General features: G+C 35.6%; 1 protein-coding gene across 42 annotated transcripts in view, besides 1 other annotated feature; it reads left to right on the top strand.

Moving 5' to 3' along the window:
* The window catches only part of ATOSA (atos homolog A), a 128495-nt gene that overhangs the window by 49548 nt on the left and 56126 nt on the right, over nucleotides 1-22821 (top strand). For 10 of the 42 annotated variants that reach the window (NR_169533.1, NR_169537.1, NR_169539.1 and 7 more), the window contains one exon: nucleotides 1471-4096. The exons of 28 other annotated variants lie outside the window; for them this stretch is intronic. Coding sequence is in view for 2 of the 14 variants with exons in the window: in NM_001385020.1 (NP_001371949.1) it covers nucleotides 8362-8398 (37 nt within the window). In the remaining 12 variants the exon portion in view is untranslated. Of the gene's footprint in view, nucleotides 1-1470; nucleotides 4097-8227; nucleotides 8399-22821 lie in introns of those variants that run through there. 4 more of the 42 variants (NR_169552.1, NR_169551.1, NM_001385020.1 and 1 more) reach the window with 1 other exon arrangement.
* Nucleotides 996-1185: an enhancer, noted in NCBI's record as "active region_9433". NCBI's record gives its function as "activates an Ori minimal core promoter by ATAC-STARR-seq in GM12878 lymphoblastoid cells {active_cell/tissue: GM12878}" and the evidence as "EXISTENCE:reporter gene assay evidence [ECO:0000049][PMID:35858748]".

Below are 22821 nucleotides of genomic sequence, written 5' to 3'. Positions count from 1 at the left end.
GGGTGGTGATGACATCTGACTTCTTCCCAGCTGTTTTCCTCATACCTGTCACAGGTTGGCACAGAATTAGTATTTATTAGATGCTTGATAAAAAATTAAGCGCCTGTTGCTTGCTCAACAACTACTATGTAAGTTCTAAGATATCATAATTTTATTTTTGGGCTTATATCAGTGAGTTTCATGAAATACAAAATTCACGCTTAAAAAATTTAACATATTTAACTGTTTTATATCTCTAACTGTACCATTAAGTTCAAACTACTTTGATGGGCTGGGTTAAATGCTACATAGGATGATCCTGGTTTATGCCTGTTGTCCTGTGTCCAATCCTATTTCACAATGGTCTCCTTTCACTCTAAGTGTGTTACCACTGTTTGGATCATGAATTTTACTTTTTTATTTTTTTAATATATATTTTTTTCTTTTTAGAGACAGGTCTTGCTATGTTGGCCAAGATGGTCTTGAACTCCTGGCCTCAAGCAAACCTCCCACCTCAGTGGGCAATGAATTTTATGATAACCCTAATAGTCATTTTACTGTTCTGCTAGTGCACTCAAGTCTTGTCTTTCATTAACTGGTATTTCATTCTGTACTTAGATAGCTTAAATATAGATTAAAATAGCTCATTTGCCCCAGCTGTGTTTTGTAGGATATTGCATCTAATATTTTGTAATTTACATGGGTCCTTGTATGAAATCAAGGGATTGACAACATGGGATGCTTGTTTTGATTTAGTACAAAACACTTGGATTTTGTTTTAGAAATGCTCTATTTCTAAAATGTTTCTACCAAACACCCATATTTTGACAAAATGTTCTTTTTCAAAGTGATAGGAATTCTTATGAATATTTCCTTCTGCAATAAACAGTTGTGATTATATAGTCATATTGGTTAAATATGACAACATTTTAGAATTTAACTGTTAGAAATAGTAAAACCTTAGACATCTGGACCATTCTCCCTCTCTTGTTCACTGAAACAAGTATAACCAAGCACTTTCAATGTGCCTGGCACATATGTGCTAGAAGTACTGTGATGAGCAAGAACTAACATGGCCTCTGCCCTCAGAAACTTGTGGTTTGAAAAAAACAAGAAACAAAAAACAAAGTCCTTTCTTCCTGGGGCAACAGGTGAATCAGAAGCTGAGGTTACCCTATGATGTTTTAGAAGAGCTGGGGGTTGGGGGTAGGGGAGCTGGCCCAGAGGAGTAAGAGAGTATCAGATGGCCCGTACAAACTTACAGAAATTGTACACTCTACTATCCCTTTCTTTTTTTGTTTTTTGAGACAGGTTCTTGCCCTGTTGCCCAGGCTGGAGTACAGTGGCTTAATCGTGGCTCACTGCAACCTCCAGTTCCTAGGCTCAAGCAATCCTTCTGCCTCAGTCCCTGAGAAGCTGGTACTACAGGTGTGCATCACCATGCCCAGCTGATTTTTAACTTTTTTTTTTTTTTTTTTTTTTTTTTTGTAGAAACGAGGTCTCACTCTGTTGCTCAGCCTGGTCTTAAACTCATGTCCTCAAGCAATCTTCCTGTATCAGCCTCCTAAAGTCTGGAATTACAAGCATGAGCCACCATGCCTGGCCTCCACTATCCCTTTCTGTTTGTGGTGGTCTCCTATATTTTGAGTTTGAATGGGAAGGGAGCATGCATGTTTGATGGTTTGTTTTGTTTTTGTGAATGAAGAATGAAAATTTATTCCCATTAAGTGCGAGCTTCAATTGAGGCACTCAGTTTATGAGGTCTTACTGATGTTTCCTCTCTTAGGTGCTGTAGTTAAAATCTTGCTGGTCTAAAATGGTGAAAACTATTGAGGTATTCAAATGATAAGTACTTTATAAACTGAAATTGCATTGAAAACGGAGAGCTCTTGACAGAAAGGTTGACTCTAGCATTTATATAAGGAAAAAGACAACTATTATCTCCCTCTACACAGAAAGCTATATTCAGTAGTTATAGGATTTGTACATTGTGAATCCTTAGGGATCTCTAAACATCTGTGTCTTTAGAAGTAGTGTCACCTCTAGTAAAAGAGGGCCAGTAGAATTGAGTGGTGGCAGCCTGTGATGTATATGAATTTTGGCTGTACGTCTCTAGCGACTATTTTCTCCAACTCTATTTAGTAAAATTCTACCTAATTTCAGCTATTGTGCTTCCAAAGTCCATGTTTGTTGAATATGATATGGTAAAAACCAATATCTATTTGGAGACAGTGGAGGGGATGGTAGTAATTGAGAGACAGTGTCAGATGGAGCAGTGACTTTACAATTTTTTTGACTGCAATCCACAATTAGACATTTCACATTGCTCCCCCATGACAACATCCCTATCGACCCCTGCCCAAAAACAAGTTATTTACCAATCTTGCTATAAGCAATGATGACTGATTTTTTCTTTTTTCTACTTTATTTAAAAAGAAAATTATAGTCTCAACTCTTTATATTAATTTTACACACATTAATTCTACAGATTGTTTTAGCACTTAGAACTAAAAGTGTTCAAGATTTGATTTTGTTACCTTCTCTGTGTAAGCTAAAGTTGCTGACTTTTCTGAGTTTCCATTTTATTGATTAAAACTGGGATAGTAATAGTATTTTACACCATTTTATAACTTTATTAGAATGACATAATCTGAGTGAAGTGGTTGTGCCAGGCACTTACTAAACACACAGTCAATGAGTATGTTCTCTCCGAAGTTTGTTAGCTTAGGGAATTGGGAGGATGCCACTGATAATAATGGTGACTCTTATTCAGAGGAAAACTAATTCAGTTTTAGACATGCTAGAGTTTGAGGTAGCCAAAAGAGTTTAGTCATATCACTTGGAAGCAAACCAATGTGAAATAGTTTCAAATAAGCAAATTTTAAAAAATGTTAAATGCAAAGCAAACAGTATTAAAGCTTTGGGGACTTAATGATTGAGTCTCCTTACACCTACACAAGATTGGCTAAATACACATACAACTGTGTCACTCTACCAGATTTCTGTTAACATTCTCCAGAATTTAAACTGCAGAATCAGTCATTTGTATGACTGTTTGTCTCTATTAGCAGAGGTAATGACATGTATCAGTGATAGGTAATTGTGGAAAAAAAAACAGCACTTGGAATTAAACCTAGAGTTGGTGATTCTTACAGGGTAACCCAACGGCTACCTTAATTTCTATGATTCAGTTTCTTCATCTACAAAATATTATTTCACAAAGTTGCAGTTGTCAAAGGGACAAGTAAATATGGGATCCATTGTCTTCATGGAAAAACTTTTCATAAAATGTTATTTTATTATAATAAAAAATGTGTGATTGGTTTTCAATTTCAGATTGAATCAAACATAGCATTCTTTGTAATAGCAGGAGATTAACAACATCCCAGAATATATCTTTAAAAGAAGTATGGATAAAGAAAAACCCGTATGCACCTCTGCACACATTTTATGTAATAGTGGTGATACTAATTTACAAAGACAAAGTATATAGGATATTAAAAGTGAATTCTTAATACCTGATCTTGATTCTTATTAAATCTGACTTATGTGTATACAAGATATTATTAGATGAAGTGTTTGTCCAGTAGCTTAGCTTATAAATAACCCCCATTCTAGCTCATTTTAAACAATGTAGTATGAATGATGCCAAAAACAGGCTAGAACATTTTCTTCTTTCCAAGATCTTAGATTTGGTAAACAAGCTACTGCTCCTGGAACTAATCTAGGTCATCATAACCCAAAATCTTTTGAAATATGAGAGTCCCAATTAAGTCTCTTAGGTACTTTTTAGCATTTTAATTTTAAGAATGTGTTTAACTCTTAAAACAGTATATTTTGGTTGCTGTTTGGCCATTTGGTTTATTTGTACCTTGTTATAATGAATGCAAGTCAGTGGGTAATCATTGCAGCAAATATGATTGCTAGGAATCTCATGTAAGTGGAAGTCAATATAATGTATGGCTTAATTTATCCCTGAACTGACCTAACATCACATTTTGTTTTTTAATAAAAACTGGTTTAATGATATGATAAATTTCTGTATTTTCCACAACTGTTAATAATGTTATATTTTAACTATTGCTTAGTCTTCATTACAAATTATTCAGCTGTTAAATGTGTTGTTCAATGTGACATTATTTAAAAACTTAAAAAAAAATCAGCTTCACAGAAATCTTTCTTTGATCAAGAGTTGTCTCATTCCCATTGTTATTAATACAGTATACAACTAATGTATGCTAATGTATTGCTGTTATTTGTGTGTGTGTGTGTGTATGTATGCAGACATATGGTCACATCATGTAGACCTGATGTCTGCAAAGGGAAAGAGGAAACTTCAAATTAAGAGCGGAGTACTGACCTAGGTGGTTTGTAGCACTTAGAGAAATGATTATTCCCACTTTTCAAATAAAGAAATAGATTCAGACAGGTTAAATAATTTGGTAACACATCCTATAAGTGGAAAGAGCTTGAATTTGTGGCTTTCCTCCTTTATGTCTTGCTGCTTTAAGGGGTCTTTCCAATCATGAGGTTGAATTTTGTACAAGCGTGTTTACACTACCATATCTGAACATTATCCCCTATCCCTCAAAGACTATTAGGAATAGAAATATCCTATATGTGTAGCACATTGCTACTTTGAAAATAATTTTATCCTGTCCTATTTTATCCTTACAACATACCAACATTGCAGACAAAGAATGAGGAATTTCAAAGAAGTGCTTAAGATCAAAAAGCTGATCAGAGCTAGGATTTGGGCCAGAACCCACATCGATGGTCCCTAGTTCAGTGTCCTTTTCGACCTCCTTTCACTTTCTCTGGATTAGGTGATCTGTGATCATGAAGTAGTGAAGTTTTACAGATTGAACCTTTTATCGTTGTCTTTGTGATCACACTACAGCTACAAAACAGCTATCTGTTTGCAGTCAAATCCTATTTTTCCATGTTACAAGCAGTGTATTAATGGTAATTTTGAGGTATAATGAGGCTGTCGTTGTGGTTATTGAATGACTAATACATGGGAAATGCTTATATGAGATTTCTGTATTTAAACTTTATTTTTGTGTAATGCCATATTTGCCTTACGGCAAATAGTAAGTAACATATGTAAGAAATTGTTAGGGAAAGGATACTAGTGGTTAAGGGCACATATATTAGATTTAGGAAGACATTATGTTTGAATCCTGGCTTTACCCACTTGGTTCTAGTTACTTGGGCAAGTAACAAGCCAGTTTTAATCTGTGGGGATAACAACTACCTGAGGATCAGAGAAGAGTACGTAAAGAGATTAGCATCATGCCTGGCCCATGGGCCAGTAGGTAGTGGCTATTTAATATATATATATGATACATATATTTAGTAATTATTTAATATGCGTATATGTGTAGTAGCCATTTGAACATTACCTTTGAGGGGTTCTTTTTTTCTATCTGCAATACTTTTTTTGTTTAGAAAGTCTCAAAGATAGCATGTTATCTCTTAAAGTATCTTACTATCGGTAGATCTCAATTATTTCTGCTAACAGAAAACATAGATGATCTGAAATAGTTATTTGAAATTTTCCCATTTTATATTTGGAAAACATAGTTTTGTTTTTAAAACTTTTGTAAAAGATCTACTATCCTATTTGTTTCCCTACAGGAGCATGGTATGTTTCCTGAACTGTCCATTTAGAGAACATACTTAACGACCATGCTAAGTGTGTTCCGGAGGAGCAGGGGAAGGAGGTTTGTTGTGATTGGGGATTGAGAACTGAGAATCTGGGACTAACACTTGTGTATAATTTCATGTTATTCAGATTCTTAGTTTGTAGTCTTGAGATTTACAAAGTAGATAATGCGCCATCATTTTATAGCATACTCATTATTTAGTTTTGTGTACCAAGATGAGCAAACTGGGGAAAAGCAAACTTTTTTCAAAAATGTATGAAGTGCTGTTCTGAAATTTATTGGAAAACTAGCAGCATAGAGGGGAGCATTTCACTAAATAAAATTCTGTCTCAGTTGGATTTAAGTTTTTAAGGTGGCACATCTATTTGGAGTGTCTTTTATCATTTATAATTACATGTTGTGACTAAATACATTTAATGTTTTTTCTGTAAATTCTCTTTTTATATGACATCAATAGATTTATATTATAGATATATCACTACCCTTTAATTTTAAAGTTTAAGGATTATAACTGAAAGGAACTATTCCAAAACAACCCTGGGATTATATATTATAGGAGATAGGAAAAGGTTAATTTTGAAATATAAATTTATTAATCCAAAAAATTTTTAAATTTGATTTCCTTTAACTTCTAGTTGTGACTTGTAAATTTTAGATCTAACTTCCTTATTTAAACAATGAAGATGGTCAAATAAGATGTTCTACTTGCACTAGTCACCTCCCATGATTGTGAAATCAAATCAAATATTGTATAAAAATATAAATGGGGCATGGTGCTAGGTAAACAATTAAGTAGACATAGTACCTACGTTTTAAGCACTTACAGTGTGTTGGAGGAGACTGTCATTAAACCAGTCATTTTGTAAACAGTCTTTCTACATTCTGTGCAGTAAGTGTTAACGAAAAAGTACAGTGGGCCTGTGACTAGTCTTGGATTAGGAAGTTGTACAGATGAGGAAACTGAAGCTCATAATGGTATAATAATCTTATATGTGGTCTCGCTGTTAGTAAATGGCAGATTCATGTTTTGAACACAGCTTGGCCTACCTCCAAATTCCTTACTGTCTCTACCATGCCATTCTTTCTCTGAGTCACCTACCTCAGGCTTATTGTGTTTCCAAGCACGTCTTGTTATTTCTCAGGGGGCTTAGCAGCTCTCCCTCTGGCTAAGTATGGAACCGGTGATCAGATTCTTTAATGAGATTTCTTTAAAGCAATAAGCCTCTTCCGGGTTGTATTTCTTCTGTACTATAGAACTCCAGGAATCCTAGAAGCTTCTTCAGGGGTAGAAATCTTGTGGATTCTGGGTCTGATATGAAATTGCATGCTATTTGTGGCTTCTCACTTAAAAATAGCCTCATAGTGCTCATGGGGCACTTTAGTAACTCCAACACTTCCATCAGACTCCACTCCCTAACCCCAAGACACTCAAGATAAACAAAGATCTGAGTAATAAACGGCATGCTTCTGCTGCGGCCTCAGCCTACTCCCACAAACCTTTCCTGTATGGAAATCCTAGAGCCACCACTGATAATGCATTTTATAGGAAGAATGCAAATAAAGAGTTCCATTGCTTTAAACGTTTGAACCACCATCCTAGTTGATGCGACGTTCAGGGGAAATATTTCTAAAATGAGAAATTTTTATAATTCATCACATCTGTTCATCCCCTACTACCTTCATTGATTCTCCCAAACAGCTTTGTAAGCTGGGGAGGGATTTTTGCTGTTAAAGTTTGTGGAGACAGTATGAACTGGTAAACTGAAGCCCAGTACTTGAAACCTGAAAAAAAGTCTATACTTCTATATCTCTGGGTAATTTTATGATAGCAAAAAGTAAATGAATTTAAGCTAAACGTCATTGTTCTATGTATCCAGAGACATTTTACCACAAATACCTAGTTAAATCTTGTATTGTCAGAGATTACTAAGTAACTGATAATTTTTCCTTTCTGAATCTTTTTCTAGTCAGTCTGGTAACCTGTTTCTTTAGTCCTCTTAAAAGGTACTGCATGCATTTGAGGAGAGACCATTTCAGGACCTATCCCATTTTAAATATGTAACAGGTTGTGCTTTTCTAGGAATTTGTGAAGTTTGTTGTAAAATACTTTATATAAAGTTCCAGGTATATGAAGGTTGACAATGCTTTATTCTGATTGTTGTAAATTTTTGTATTTATACATTTTCAGAGGGTTTCACTTGGTAGAACCTGATTTAATTTAGATGTGAAGTAACTGATTCCTTCCACAACCCTTCTTTGTCTTCAGTTTATGTGCATCACTAACTGAAATAAATTTTTGTCTTACGAATTTCTCTGTTTTAAAAGCAACTGAAGAAACACATTTCAGGGGCAAACGCTAGAATACTTTGCCATTATCAGTCTACTGTTCTTTCCTTTCAAGTTGCCTAAACACAGCTGAGTTTGTAAGACGAGCAAAGAAAACATGACAGTGCTGCCAAGTAGACAGGAAGCTGTAGTGGACCTAGCGAGCAGGGGAGGTTGAGCACACCCTCTGTCCAATCAGCTGTGAGTGCTGTTGCTATGTGCGCTCTTACTCTGCTGCCTTTGTGAAAAACCTTACACGGAGGGAAGCGGGATCAGCACCCAACGCTGAACATTTGTTTTAACCGCTGCAGACATCTGGATCCCTCAGTTACTGATAGTATAGCTATTGATAGCCAGAAGGCAACTTCCTTTATACAAGGATTCCAGTATGGTTTTCAGTGGAAACAAAGGGCTTCACAGAGAAGGTGTGTAGTGAAGTGTTTTTTAACGGCTTTATTTTTAAGCTTCCAATTTTCTGTAGCTGTTTACCAGTTGGCTGTGGTGCTTGCTTTGCATGGATTTTTAATAAATAGGTCTAGGAAAATTATCTCACTTTGAAAACCATTGAACTTAGAGAATTTTCTTTAGCTTCATATAGCCTGTTTTCTTTGAACAGCAGTACTGAAAAGATTATTAAAATGCTGAACTGAACAATGAGTAGGAAGAAAAGAAACCAAGTACAATGTGCTCACTTTAATGGGGAAAAAATGTGATAGAAATGAGAATACAGGGAAGAGAATGTGCATTAGCCAGAAGCATTAACTGTATGTGGGGGCAGGAGGTATTTTTTAAATTAAAGCTGTTAAGACAAATGTATTTTAAATAAGCTGCATATTTTTAATTGAATTCATGTTTCTGAATTTGACAAAGATTGTCAGAATTTAACTAAGTGAGATTTTTGACATAGTTTAAGGAATTGGTGTGCCAAAATCTTTTTATAAAGCATTTCTGAAAATCCTACCTCAAATTGTGCAATCTCTTAATTATTTAATCCATTGACTAGTTCTGTGCAGTTCAGATAAAGCATCATAATTCAACCGCAAAGTCAGTGTAGTGTTCTATTAAACATCCATATAGAAAACTGAAGGATAAGGGATTTTGAAGACAACATACAAGGTTAAACTAGTATTTTAAAATTGAAGTAGGCCTCCTAAATGTAATAATTGCATATCTGACTTAGTTAATACTTCAAATATAGTCAAATCTTATTAAACTGTACTAATATAATATATGTGATAATTGAACAGAGTGTAGGTTACCATTTGTTTATATAGGATCTGGAAAAATTGGTCTGTTCAACAGATTATAGGAAAGTTTTAAAGTGTTTTAATAAACAAAAGGTCTTTTTGTATCTTTCTCAAATACTGTGAAATTAAAGTTTACATATGTGATTTAGCTAATGGTTCTTTTAATTAAAGCAGAGCAGACTAATTAGCATATTGCCCATTTTACGAAGGATCCGTATTGAGCTAATAACCGGCTTTTCCTTTGCTTTTTCGTTTTACATGGCTAAGTGGCCTTTAGTTCACTCAGTGATGTATGTCTGATGAGTAAAGTCAGTATAAGCTCAGAGTTAATATTAGGGCTTTGTTATCTCTACAAACTATATAGTTTGGAATAGGATGGGTTTTGTTGTTGTTCTTTTCAAAAAATACCTGTCATTAGAAAGTCTTAACAGTGTTAGCATTTCTGGTAAGGAGAGATATTTCTTTTCTTTAAAGAGAACTCAAAATATTATCCCATGCTTTTGTGCCCTTTGCTGATCTTTGTAACAATACTATGTATATAACATTTGTATTAAAAAGATGTCTAATAATTGGTGAAAATTTACAAAATAGTCCTTAAAGATTAAAAAAATGTTTTACGTAGACCTACATGTGGCTGAAGTTTAAAAGACTGGCATTTCTTAGATTTTCAAGTTTGTAAGGTGCAGCCAAAAACTTGAATTTGATAGAAGTTATAAAAATTATAGCAAAATAAAGTTATATTATTTGGACTTGGTGGCCTCCACAATATAAAGCACTCACTTCAAGAAGAGCAGCTGTGTGTAGAAGGGGTAGGGGTATGAAAGGGAGTTTGGAGTGAGAGGCAGACACAGGCAGAGAGGACTCAAGTTTGTTAAATATGACTAACCACATGAAAGTCAATCTAGCAATTTTCATTTTTTAGCTGTAACTCTTATGAATTACTAATTTTATTTTCTAATTATAGAACCATAAAAACCAAAGTTTTGTTTAAATTGATTTGCTACCCATTTTATGTTGGTTTATTTCATAAAAATTAATAGAGCCTCCAAGAGAAAGGCTATTTCTCATTCATATGCTGCAAAAGATGGGGGAACATGAAATTGTAAGAAAGTTGAGTGTACTGCTGTGTCACACAGAGGCTTTGCCATTGTGTTCAGGAGGAATATTATTGGCAGAATTCCAGACATTATTGCTGGGCTTAGCACCTAAAAATGTTTTATATACTGGAGCATCTGAAAGTTCCTATTCAGTAGCAGAACTTCAGGGTAGTTGAGGTTTATAATCTAGTCAGTTATAATAACATTGCTAGCATATTTCAGTTTTTTGGATTTGTCTATTATTTGACAATATAATTTTTATTGTCTTTGTCTATGTCATATCTTTAAATTGGCTATTGTTTTGTGCTTATGGAAAAATACTTTAATTCTCAAAAACAGTGATTTCTTTTTTGTTTTTGCCTCTTTATAAGGAATAGCAAATAGAAGTGCTAGTATTTACTAGATGCAGTGATTGCTACAGTTGGTTTTAAGTAAAACAGATTGTTTTTGATTATTTTGAAATCAGGCAATAATATATAATGCTGTTTACAGTTCTTTAAAAAATATGTAACTTAAAAACTCAGATTGGGAAGGGGTAACAATCTGAGTTTTTCTTTTTCTCTAAGTGTTCTGTGAAAATCTTTTTTTAAGTCGTTCCTACTTCAGGTATTATCACAAATGTTTGATTTCTATATGTATGCCTTAAGTGATATATGACACATTTTTTTCCTTGACTCTTCCTTGCGGAAATTTCATTACTTGTTCATAGTTTGAATCTAAGAAATATTTGCTTTTCATAGTCAGCAGGGCCAAAACTTTGGTCTTGACAACTTTTTGTCAGGCATTTTCACATATCGACAGTGTTTTTGCATAAACTGTATTGCTTTTGCAAGTATATAGTAAATTTTTTTCTTAATCTTCAGATGTTATAGTATCAAAAATTCAAAGACCTAAGTTTTAAAAATGTAATTGTTTGCAGTATTACTTGAATCTATTATATAATCCTTTGTGATGAGGCTCAGTTATAAAAGTGACAGCATGAGGACTATTGAGAAACTGGAAATATCTTTCTGTTCTTTCTTCACTGGATTCCTCAGTTTTACTCACTGAAAGACTTCTGGACATCATAGGACTTGAAGAGAAGGTTTATAATAAGCCCAGGAACAGTAAAATTATAAATTTGAGGAAGTAGTCAAGATAGAGTATAAAAAGTAATCAGCCCCTAAGGCTCATACATGGATGGGCCTCAGATTTTGCTATAAGCTTCCTGTCATCTGTCATATGAGAGGGATGCTGTGTGAATCAGTTATGTATATTCCTGTTCTTTAACATTGCTAAATTTTTACCATTAAAATTTATGTTGGTTTCTGTTTTCTTAATATTTTGAAGGTGTTTTGTTTTTTGAGGTTCAAATTTTGGGTGGTGGGTACAAACATACAGTTAGAAGAAATCGTTCTGTCATTCAATAATATGATAGGAAATTATAGTTAATAATTATTGTATATTTCAAAATACCTAGAAGAGAAGAATTGTAATGTTCCCAGCACAAAGAAAATATAAATGTTTGTGGTGATGGATATTCCAGTTACCCTGATTTGATCATTACACATCATATACATGTGTTAAAATATCACATGTACCCCCAAAAATACATACAACTGTGGTATATCAATAAATAAAAAGGAAAAACAATTTTGGGTGGATTGCCTGTATAATTTATTATTTAGCTGTGTAATATTGGGCATAGTTTCACCTTCTGGGCCTTAGTATCCCCCTCGGTATCATGAGATTTTAGGATGATTGTGGGATTTAAATGAAAGAATGTGCGAAACTACTTAGATTCATTACTACTTATTAATTAGCTATTATAATAAAATGTGAGATTGTATTATAACTTTCCTTTAAAGTTATTCTACGTTAAAAACGTGAATATGTTGAGTTTTCTCAGTATTTTGAGAATTTTAAGCATAGTTTTTTAGACCTTTCCCTAAGATACACTTCTAGGTTTCTCAGTTTCCTAAGGTACTTCATTAACTGGAAAGCCATGGAGATATGGGGATTGGGGCAGAAAAAGAAGACAGGGTTCATGGGTAAGTGCATGGCTAAATATCTGAAGAAAGATAATAGTCAATAGTGGTAAGGAAAGAATGAGTAAAATGAGAAGAGACATAGAAGGCAAAAGAAACATTTGTTCTGTTTGTAGTGTTTTGATAACATATTCATACAGTTTGATTCTTGTAGTGTTATTGTTTCTGTTGTGTGTGTATGTACACTCGTGTGTACTGACACCCCCAGATTTCCCCCACCCCTTTGACCCCTGCAAATGCTGAGCTGATTGACTAGAGTTGCTAAATCCCTTGGTGATTTATTTACTGGGAAGTAACTTTATTCTGACTTTTCTTTTGAATTCCTCAGCTAGAACTGAGCTAAAGGTGACATTGTAATTGCCTTCCATATTAATGACAAGGGACAAGCCAGCTGCCTGGAAGGCAGAAATTAAATATCATCACAGATACGAGTGTAATTGTCTTGAAATATTAAAATTTAAGACTAAAAATCTAATGGTTTTGTGAAAACTCAAACTTCAAAGCCAAAATGCTCTTTTGTCATTTTCATAAGTACACAAAACTTCAGCTTCTTTCAACTGACCACAGTATTTTCATTGCTTTGAGCTGACATATGTTATTTTGGGAGAGAGGTTTAATCTGGTTTCCATTCTATTTTTCATATTTTGATCAAGGGTAAAATTTTTGTGATTTTTTTTTTTTTACATAAACTAATTTAGCCCTCCAATTTGCTGGAAGGTGCAGGTTAGCTTAATGAAAGAGAACACACAAATGTAAAACAAAACAAAAGTATTTTCCAAGTATACTCCATTTTATCACTGTCATTGAGTCCAGTAATATTAACCAATTAGCTTCTGCATTGGGCCCAGAGACTACTTACAGTTGACAAAAGGGGAGGAGAACCCTTTTAAAAATAGGTATCCTAATTTTAAATGACTACATTGCATTGGTGTATATGTTTTTGGGTAATGCATACTTACCTTAAATCGCTTCTCTCAAAAATATCCATGTAGAAACAGAATGATTGCTGTACGTCAGCATCTTCTACTGACCCTTTTGAGAATGTGCTGAATGCTATCAACCCCCTTGCTAGGGGGAAAAACACATCTATATTTATGTACACATAATTTTGTGGAAAATACCAAAGAGGATCATAAATTACCTTAGGTTAAGAACTTTTTTTAACATAATTTGTTTATAGTCAGAGTATGAAAGCATTAATATTTAAAAATTGAGGCTTAAAACAGACTGGATGCAACTTTCAGAATATGTATGCAAGCAAAGTGTCACATGGTTTTTTTCCCCCACTTCAAGGGATATGGTAAAATGTTCCCATATGTGCTCCATACATTAGTACCCTTGTAGATGGGTTTGCCCTGGACAGTACCCAGTATCCCTTTGTGGACTCCTACGTTCTAGATGGGCTTCAAATAGAAAACCTAGCACAAAAGGACCAGCCTGGAATGCGGTGTTCAGGTCTTCAGAACCTACAGGCCACATCTCTGAGTTGTAGACTGAGATTAGAGAAGACCTAATGACACCTCCTTTGGCCTTAGACTGCCACCCGGAATCTCTTCCAGAAATCATTCTGCACAAGAAATGACAGGTCCACTGCTATGAATGTCACCCAGTTCTATCTTTGTTCAAGAGAATCAAGCAGAACTGATCTGTGTGTGCCCAAGTTTCTCACCTCTTAATTAAAAAGACCTGTCTTCCGTCCACTTTTTATTTCTCCAGGAGTTTTAGATTTCACACATAGACGCATTCAGTGGGAAATAGGATGTTGAGAGTACTAGAAGTAGGGGTCATTCATATGGTTGGGAGAAGGATGTTGAAAGGACAGAATGTATTTTGGGAAACCAGCCTATGTTGTAACCATTTTCCCATGAGGTAAAAATGTAAGACTAAACTAGGTTAAGTTTAAGGATAATTTTGGAAAGTCATGTGCCATTTGTGTAGGATTAATGAAGCTGGGGGAAAAAAACAGCACTGGGATAGTGGATTGTTGCCTTTTTAACACAGAATATTCTTATGAGAGTACAGGTAAATCTAGAATTTGGTTTTGAGAGGCAGGAGTTTGTTTCCTTTTGTTACAATGTTTTCTCAGATCTTTGTCTCAGAGTTCTTTCTGTATGAGGTGTGGAGTGATAACACCATATAATCAGGAATATTCCCACAAAGAATAGTGAAAAGGACAATATTTTCTACTTGAGAGTCTTCAGGCCCTGAGACTATGATGAATTGTGTCTGATGGTTTACACAGAGCACAGAGAAATGAAATTGAATAGGATTAGTGCAGGTAAGACAGAAATGAATTGAGGAAACCAGTAAGTTTTCTCGATAACACTGACTAGTTCTAAGTCATACATTTTAGATATCATACCCACTGGGAGCTTTCTCTGATGTCCAAGATTGAGTTCCCTCCTAAATATTCCCATAGCACCTTGATCTACTCCTATTTTATTTATCTTTTAAAAAATTATTTATTTATTTATTTATTTGAGATGGAGTCTTGCTTTGTCGCCCAGGCTGGAGCGCAGTGGCATAGCGTGATCTTGGCTCACTTCAGCCTCCGCCTCCCAGGTTCAAGCAATCCTACCGCCTCAGCCTCCCAAGTAGCTGGGATTACAAGCATGTGCCTCCATGCCCAGCTAATTTTTGTATTTTTGGTAGAGATGGGGTTTCACCATGTTCGCCAGGCTGGCCTCGAACTCTTGACATCAAGTGATGTGCCTGCCTCGGCCTCCCAGAGTTCTGGGATTACAGGCATGAGCCACTGCGCCTGACCTCATTTATCACATTACCATGAATTAGGCTTATCTGTGTTCTCTCCATACGACTGCCCCCTACTAGAAGTTAGCAACAGTAGCTTATTCTCCCATTGCCTCTGGAGAAGAGCTGAATCTCAGACAGTTTTTAACACATAAATATCAAATACTTCTTTTTTCTACTCTTCTAGCCTTTCAAATTACTTAGAATTTAGTTTTCTTTGTATAGTTTGAGTTGCCCTCAGCTGCTCACATAAGCATTCAATAGGTTGCTGTGATCAATCTATAATCCTTTAAATGACTGTTGAGGCCTAGAAATTCTAGTAATCAATACAGAAATTAGAACTCAAAGTGTTCTCCCCTTTTATTTTTTATTTTTGACAATTTTTGCCCTTGATGTAGAGATTTAGTGATTGCCTAATCATTTTAAACAAATGTTTCCTTATCTCATTGAAGAGAATTACATTGATAATATAGAAAAACAATTGGCAATTAAAATATGAAATCCAAGAGAAGAATAAAGTAATAGTTATCTGGGAAGGGTAACAATTAGCTTTCATCACTTTAACCAGAAATAAGCTGAAACTAAGAAAACAAAATACAGTGAAACATTAAACATCCATTTGAGTGCCTACCTGTTCATGTCGAGCACTGTGCTAAGCAATAGTAGTTGGTCTTAATTCTCATAAAGCTCAAATAATGACTTAATTTTATTTGTGCTAAATTCTAAGAAGGAAAAGTATAAGATGTCATAGGCTCTTCTAACAATGATAAAAAGACATGAAAGAGGGTAATAGGATCAGATGAGATGGATGTAATGAAGAATTATGTATGTAAGCTGAAACAGAGATCATCTGATTGTTTCTTACCCTAATTTTTTAATCTGAAGAATCTGATGAAGAGGTAAAGTTAAATTTTTCCTCCATAAGAATAGAAATTAAGTTAGAAAATGTAGGCCAGGCGCAGTGACTCATGACTGAAATCCTAGCACTTTGGGAGGCCGAGGTTGGAGGATTGCTTGAGGCCAGGAGTTCAAAACCAGCCTGGCAACATAGAAAGACCATCTTTCCAAAAATTAAAAAAAAAAAAGCCTTTCACAAAAGCAACAAACATCTAATTTTTGAATAAACTTAACAGATATATTCAGGAACTTTATAAAGATTTTAAAACTCTACCAAATAATATTTTTAAAGACTTTCATATATGGTGAGATTTAAACCTTTAAAATACAGGGTTTTTTTGTTTTTTTTTGTTTGTTTGTTTTGAGACTGAATCTCCCTCTGTCGCCCAGGCTGGAGTGCAGTGGCGTGATCTCGGCTCACTGCAACCTCCGCCTCCCGGGTTCAAGTGATTCTCCCGCCTCAGCCTCCTGAGAAGCTGGGATTACAGGCACACGCCACCACACCCAGCTAATTTTTGTATTTTCAGTAGAGACGGGTTTTGCCATGTTGGTCAAGCTGGTCTCAAATTCCTGACCTTGTGATCCGCCTGCCTCGGCCTCTCAAAGTGTTGGGATTACAGGCGTGAGCCACTGCGCCCGGCTAAAATACAGTTTTTAAAAAGTTAGTTCCAAAAAAAAAAAAAAAGAGTTCAAGGCCAGGTACTGTGGCTCACACCTGTAAGTCCAGCACTTTGTGAGGCAGGAGGATCACTTGAGCCCAGGAGTTCAAGACCAGTCTGGGCAACATAGTGAGATGCTGTCGCTACAAAAAAAAAAAAAAGCCAGGTGAGGTGGTGCATGCCTGTGGTCCCAGCTACTCAGGAGGCTGAGGCGGGAGGATCCCTTGAGTACAGGAGTTCAGGGCTGCAGTGAGGTATGATTGTGCCACTGTACTCCAGCCTGGGCTACAGAGCAAGATGCTGGGTCAGTTTTTTTAAAAAGTTCAAGTGTTTTTTGAGTCACTAGCTATAATTTTTGGGAACCACCGTTAAATCTGAAGATTGGAAAAGCAGAAAGCATGTTAAGAGAATTGGAATATTCTCCTAATGCATGAAGTATGAATCACTTTCTGACCACAAAATTTTTTCATGGTACGTCTTTATAAGGCCTGCTATGAGGGGAGTTCTGGAAACAGGAGGAATTCTAGTGATTTAGTGGAATACAGAGGGTGGGGCATCTTGTGGTGGCCCTGGGAGAGAATGAGTTTGGCAGGTGTGATGGGAGCATAAAAGGGAGTGATGGAAGGTGAGGTTAAAAAAGGTAGATAGGGGCTGTGTGTGGAGGCTCACACCAGTAATCCCAGCAGTTTGGGAGGCCAAGGCGGGAAGATGATTTGAGCCCAGTAGTTTGTGGTTATGGTGAGCTATGATCAAACTAAACTGTAGCCTGGGTGACAGAGTGAGACTTTGTCTCAAAAAAATAAATAGGATCTTTTTTTCACCCATCTCTCATTACTCCCCTTTATGCATCCAGCGTTCTGGCCTGTCTGGGAATGGTGAGGAGTCAGATATGGGAGATTGCTGAAATAGCAGTCAGACTTTAACATTGATGGCTTATTGGAAATAAGTGAGAGAGAGGAGGCGTAAGTGATTCTAAGATTTCAAGTCACAAAAAGCAAAACAGCTACAGTTGGAACAAGTTTTGTACTCTGGCCAACACCCTCATGATTATTTTTAGTTTGTGGCAGGCTAGATGTAAGAGTTAGTCTGTGCTTGTGGCCAAACTGATACTAACAATAAATGGGATTCTAGTATTTTGTAATTTCAAAATTTGGCTTAAGTAGAATTAGATAATTGGAATTGGAAGGGGCCATCTAGTTTCACATACCTTCATTTTACATGTGAGTTTGCTGAGGCTCACAGAGTTTGACTTTTCCCAAGGTCTCAGGGCTAGTTTATTACAAAAATGAAATTACAATCCAGGTCTTCTGGCTTCTAGTGCAGCAATTTTCATACTTTTTGCAAGTTGCTTAGCATTATTTTCATTTGATTTTTGTTTTATTGAGAGATCTGTGAATTTCAGGATATATTATAGCTATAAATGCTGATCTTTAAGATCTGCTATTTAGCTATCAAAATCTAGGGGAAAGATCCAACTTAAATACAGAATTTAAACAGATTGGCAAATTTATCTTCTAAAGAGAGGATTTCATAATAACACAAAATAAATAATTGCTTGATCATAATAGTTGTGCTTAGTTGACTACAGTTCTCATTGTGTGAGAATCAGCTGAACTAAAACCAGTTTAGTTTAGAATATTTAGAAATATTCTATACTTGGCTGCCTGAAGTTAATGATAATGACCACAGAGTCATCCAATAAAACATTAATTAAAATGTTACTTTAGCATTAAATCCCACTACTTGATTGTTATCTTTATCAAAGGATACTGCCTTTGGCAGAGTTACTATTTCAAAGAGGAAACAGAGCAATATGAAACTACTTTGTGGGGAAAAAATCAGAAAATGTGTTGTTTCTGTTCTTACCAACCTTATAGCAAGGTGATATATTTACAACTGCCATTTACAATTATAATTTTCCATCTCAAATAATTGATCTTCCTATATTTGCACAGAGAGTAATGAATGAATCCGCTCATACAGTTACAAGGGTGGCATTGCCTGCCTCCTTCAACTGGCTGAATGACTGAAGGAACTGGTGGATATTCTTTCTTGATGTGATTACATCATCTCATTTTCTTTTTGGCAAGCTATCATTCTCATACACTTCTGGTCCATCACCCCCTTTTTTAGAATTGACAGTTTTCTGCTTTCGTGGAACATGGTCTACCCTCCCCATCATTGCTCCTTCAGATGATAAGCTTCTCTTGGGCTGATCAAGATGGGAGCAGTGGAAAGGAAGAGAAAGACCCCATAGCACTGTAGGGGGGCTCTTGGTTACTATTCACACAGAGAGTGAAGTCAACTTTCAGCTCAGTGCCTTTTGGCAGCCTTTCTCGTAAAATATCCAGTGTTAATTCATACCATTTTTTACAATACAGGTTTACTTTAACCAGTGTTTATTAAACATACATTTTGATGGAAGTATTTTTACTTTGATTAACGTACAAACCGATTGACTAGAAATATGTAAGCATAAGTTACGAATGCAGTTCTTATAAACGCCTGTACCTGTAGCTGTTTTATTTTTTCTTCAGATAAGAGGTTTGTGGTAAATGGTTTCATTCTCCAAGACTGCATGTCTTTTCAAAAGACGCTTAAAAGAACTGCAATAAACGTGGGAGTACAGGTATCTCTTCGACATACTGATTTCATTTCCTTTGAATATATATTCAATAATGGGATGCTGGATCATATGGTAGTCCTTTTTTTAATTTTTTGATGAACCTTCATAGTGTTTTCCATAATAGATATACTATTTGATCATTATATAATGTATAAATACATTGAAACATCACACTGTTACCCCATAAGTATGTATAATTATGTCAGTTATAAATAAAAATTTAAAAGAAGCTGAAAATCATTCAAATAGTTTGCTCACTTTGTTTTCAGATCTAGTAGTATATATTGCATTTAAATCAATCTGATAAAACTGATAATTTTAGGATAATCATATTTAGTTTATTTTAAATGTACGTAGTCTACATTTTAAATCTCTGATATAAGATTGCTGCCTTTTTTTTTTTTTTTTTTTTTTTTTTTGAGACTTGAGTCTTGCTCTGTTGCTCAGGCTGGAGTTCAGTGGCAAGATCTCAACTCACTGCAACCTCTGCCTCCCAAGTTCAACCGATTGTCATGCTTCAGCCTCCCAAGTAGCTGGGGTTACATTACAGGTGCCCACCACCACACCCAGCTCATTTTTGTATTTTTAGTAGAGTCGGGTTTTCACCATGTTGGCCAGGCTGTTCTTGAACTCCTAACCTCAGCCTACCAAAGTGCTGGGATTACAGGTGTGAGCCACCTCACCTGGCCCACACTATAGTTTAATTGGAAGCTTTTTTGTTAGTAAAAGATAAAAGAGTAATATGTCTTAAAATTGACACTTTAGATTTGATTAGTTAACAGTAGTAATTGTACATGAATGACTATTACATGTACAATGGGCCTATTCTTGGAAGTACAGTGTGATGGTTAATATGTGGGCTTTGCGCAAGTATCTTAACTTTTACTGTATTCTTAGTATTTTATGAAGATTAAATAGGAAAAAATATTCATCGGCCAGGCACGGTGGCTCACACCTGTAATCCTAGCACTTTGGGAAGCTGAGGCCGGCGGATCACGAGATCAGGAGTTCAAGACCAGCCTGGCCAACATGGTGAAACCCCGTCTCTACTAAAAATACCAAAAAAAAAAAAATTAGCTGGGTATGGTGGCGGGTGCCTGTAATCCTAGCTACTTGGGAGGCTGAGGCAGGAGAACCACTTGAACCCAGAAGTTGGAGGTTGCAGTGAGCCGATATTGTGCCATTGCACTCCAGCCTGGGCCACAAGACCAAGACTTTGTCTAAAAAAAATAAATATTCACCACAGAATCTGGCATATAGTGAGAGCCTAAGAAGTATTAGCTATTATTATAGCATTATAACAGTGTTAAAACTGCATGATTGATCCACAAGCACAAACCAGAAAGCAGTTACCAGCAGTCTTCAATGTAAATGAAATAATTCAACTGTTTTTTCAGCTATTTTCTATAGATAAGACCTTTTATAAACAGAAACCTGACTGGCACTAAATTGCTATTTCCCAGACTGTTGTATTTATAGAATGCTAAAAGCCGTCATTATACAATATATTTTACTACTCACTAGATACTCTTATTCTGGCATATCTGTAAAATATAGAAACCTGATATAAATATTCAGTAGTCTAGTCCAGGGGAATTTTGTTCAAGAAACTCAGCACCAGAGGTTATATGAGAAACAAGGTTATTGTCAGTAGACTTTGAGAATGTCAGTTACTATGAGAACTGTGCTTGCCTTAACCACTTAACAGTTTTTTTTGCTTGTAATACAAGTTCAGGAACAGATGATATTATAGAATTAGCACTTATCCCTTCTAGTAACTAATCTAGTCTGATTTTCAGGCCCAAAGACTTGTAAGTATATTCATACTTATCAGATAGTAAAATACTTAATATAAAAGGTAAACTTTTAATTTAAGCCTATTCGGGTGGACTTTTTTTTTTTTTTTTGCTCTTGGGACAGCAAAGACTCATCTGAGCTTTGATACTTTCTTTTTTTTGCTTGAAGTCAATTTCAAGTCACTTTCTCCAGTAATTTTTTTTCTTCATAATCAGTGCTTCCCAAGGGAGGCTTCTTAAATATGATTTTAGAATAAGTGAATAGATTATTTTCATTTTTTACTTTTTAAAACTGCACAAAATAAGTATATGTTTTTCTGGCCTTTGTAGGAAGTAATTTTTAAAAATTAGTAATAAGGTTTGTTTTTAGAGCAGTTTTATGTTCTCAGCAAAACCCTGCAGAACTTTCCCATATATCCGCTGTTTCCACACGCATACAACCTTCCTGTTAGTGATACCACCCACCCCAGTGGTACTTTTTTTTTTTTTTTTTTTTGGCAGAGTCTCACTATGTCGCCCAGGCTGGAGTGCAGTGGTGCGATCTTAACTCACTGCAACCTCCGCCTCCCGGGTTCAAGTGATTCTCCTTCCTCTGCCTCCCAAGTAGCTGGGATTACAGGTGCTCACCACCATGCCTCATGCCCAGCTAATTTTTGTATTTTTAGTCGAGACAGGGTTTCACTCTGTTGGCCAGGCTGGTCTCAAATTCTTGACCTCAGGTATCTGCCCGCCTCAGCCTCCCAAAGTGCTGGGAGCCACTGTGCCCGGCCCACAGTGGTACTCTTTTTTAACACCATCACCCATAGTCCGTAGTTTACGTTAGGGTTCACTCTTGGTGAATAGGATATGTATTTTTTCTGGCATGTTATAGAAGGTAAGCGTTTTTAAATATATAGATGTTTCTTAAATAAGAAATAATTTGAAAAGTGGCAAACTCTTCAGCAATTCTTGTCTACAAGTTTGTTGCTTTAAAATTTCTTCAGCACTCGATTCATTCTAAATTAAGTGAAAAATATTTCCTTGAGAGATTTCTTTCACATGCTATTCATCAAACCAAGATAACATTGTAAACCTTCTCAACCTGTTAAAGAACATCTATGAAAATCTATACCTAATATACTTAGTGGTGAAATGTTGAATATTTTCTTACTGAGATCAGAAAGAAGACACTCAAGCTGCTTTTATACCACATTGTATAGCTAGGCATTACAAAAAGACAAGAAAAAGAAGTAGAAACATAAAGACTGGAAAGAAGTAACATTATATTACAGTGATATGATTGTTTATTTAGAAAATCCTAATATTCAGGTATTCAGGATATAGGAGTGAATGGGAGAGCTTCCATCTTATAGGAAGTCACTGGTTATTAGCTTTAATAGCAATACTATAATAATAAATGTCTGCCTGAGAGAGTAAGGGAGGCTTCACCTCTGTTTCTACTAAGTGACTTTTAAACTGCTTTAAAAAATGTAAGAGTTTGGGCTCTTATTAGTATATAGTGGGGTCCATTATGGAGATTTAATCCAATATAATTATATTTACATTTTATAGAATTCTAACAAGAGAGGTAAAGATGGATGGGAACGGTAAGAGATGAGATGCAGAGAGACCAGTGAAAGAGATGATGGCCTTAGTAGTATTGGCAGTGAGGACTAAACTTGGTTAGAGCTATTAGGAGGTACAATTTATAAGACTCAATTACTACGTTTTTGGCTTGGGTGATTGAGCATGGATAATGGTAAATAGGA

The sequence above is a fragment of the Homo sapiens genome, chromosome 15, assembly GCF_000001405.40.
Source record: "Homo sapiens chromosome 15, GRCh38.p14 Primary Assembly".
In the NCBI taxonomy this organism is placed as follows: Eukaryota; Metazoa; Chordata; class Mammalia; order Primates; family Hominidae; genus Homo; species Homo sapiens.
This window is presented reverse-complemented; position numbering and strand designations above follow the sequence as displayed.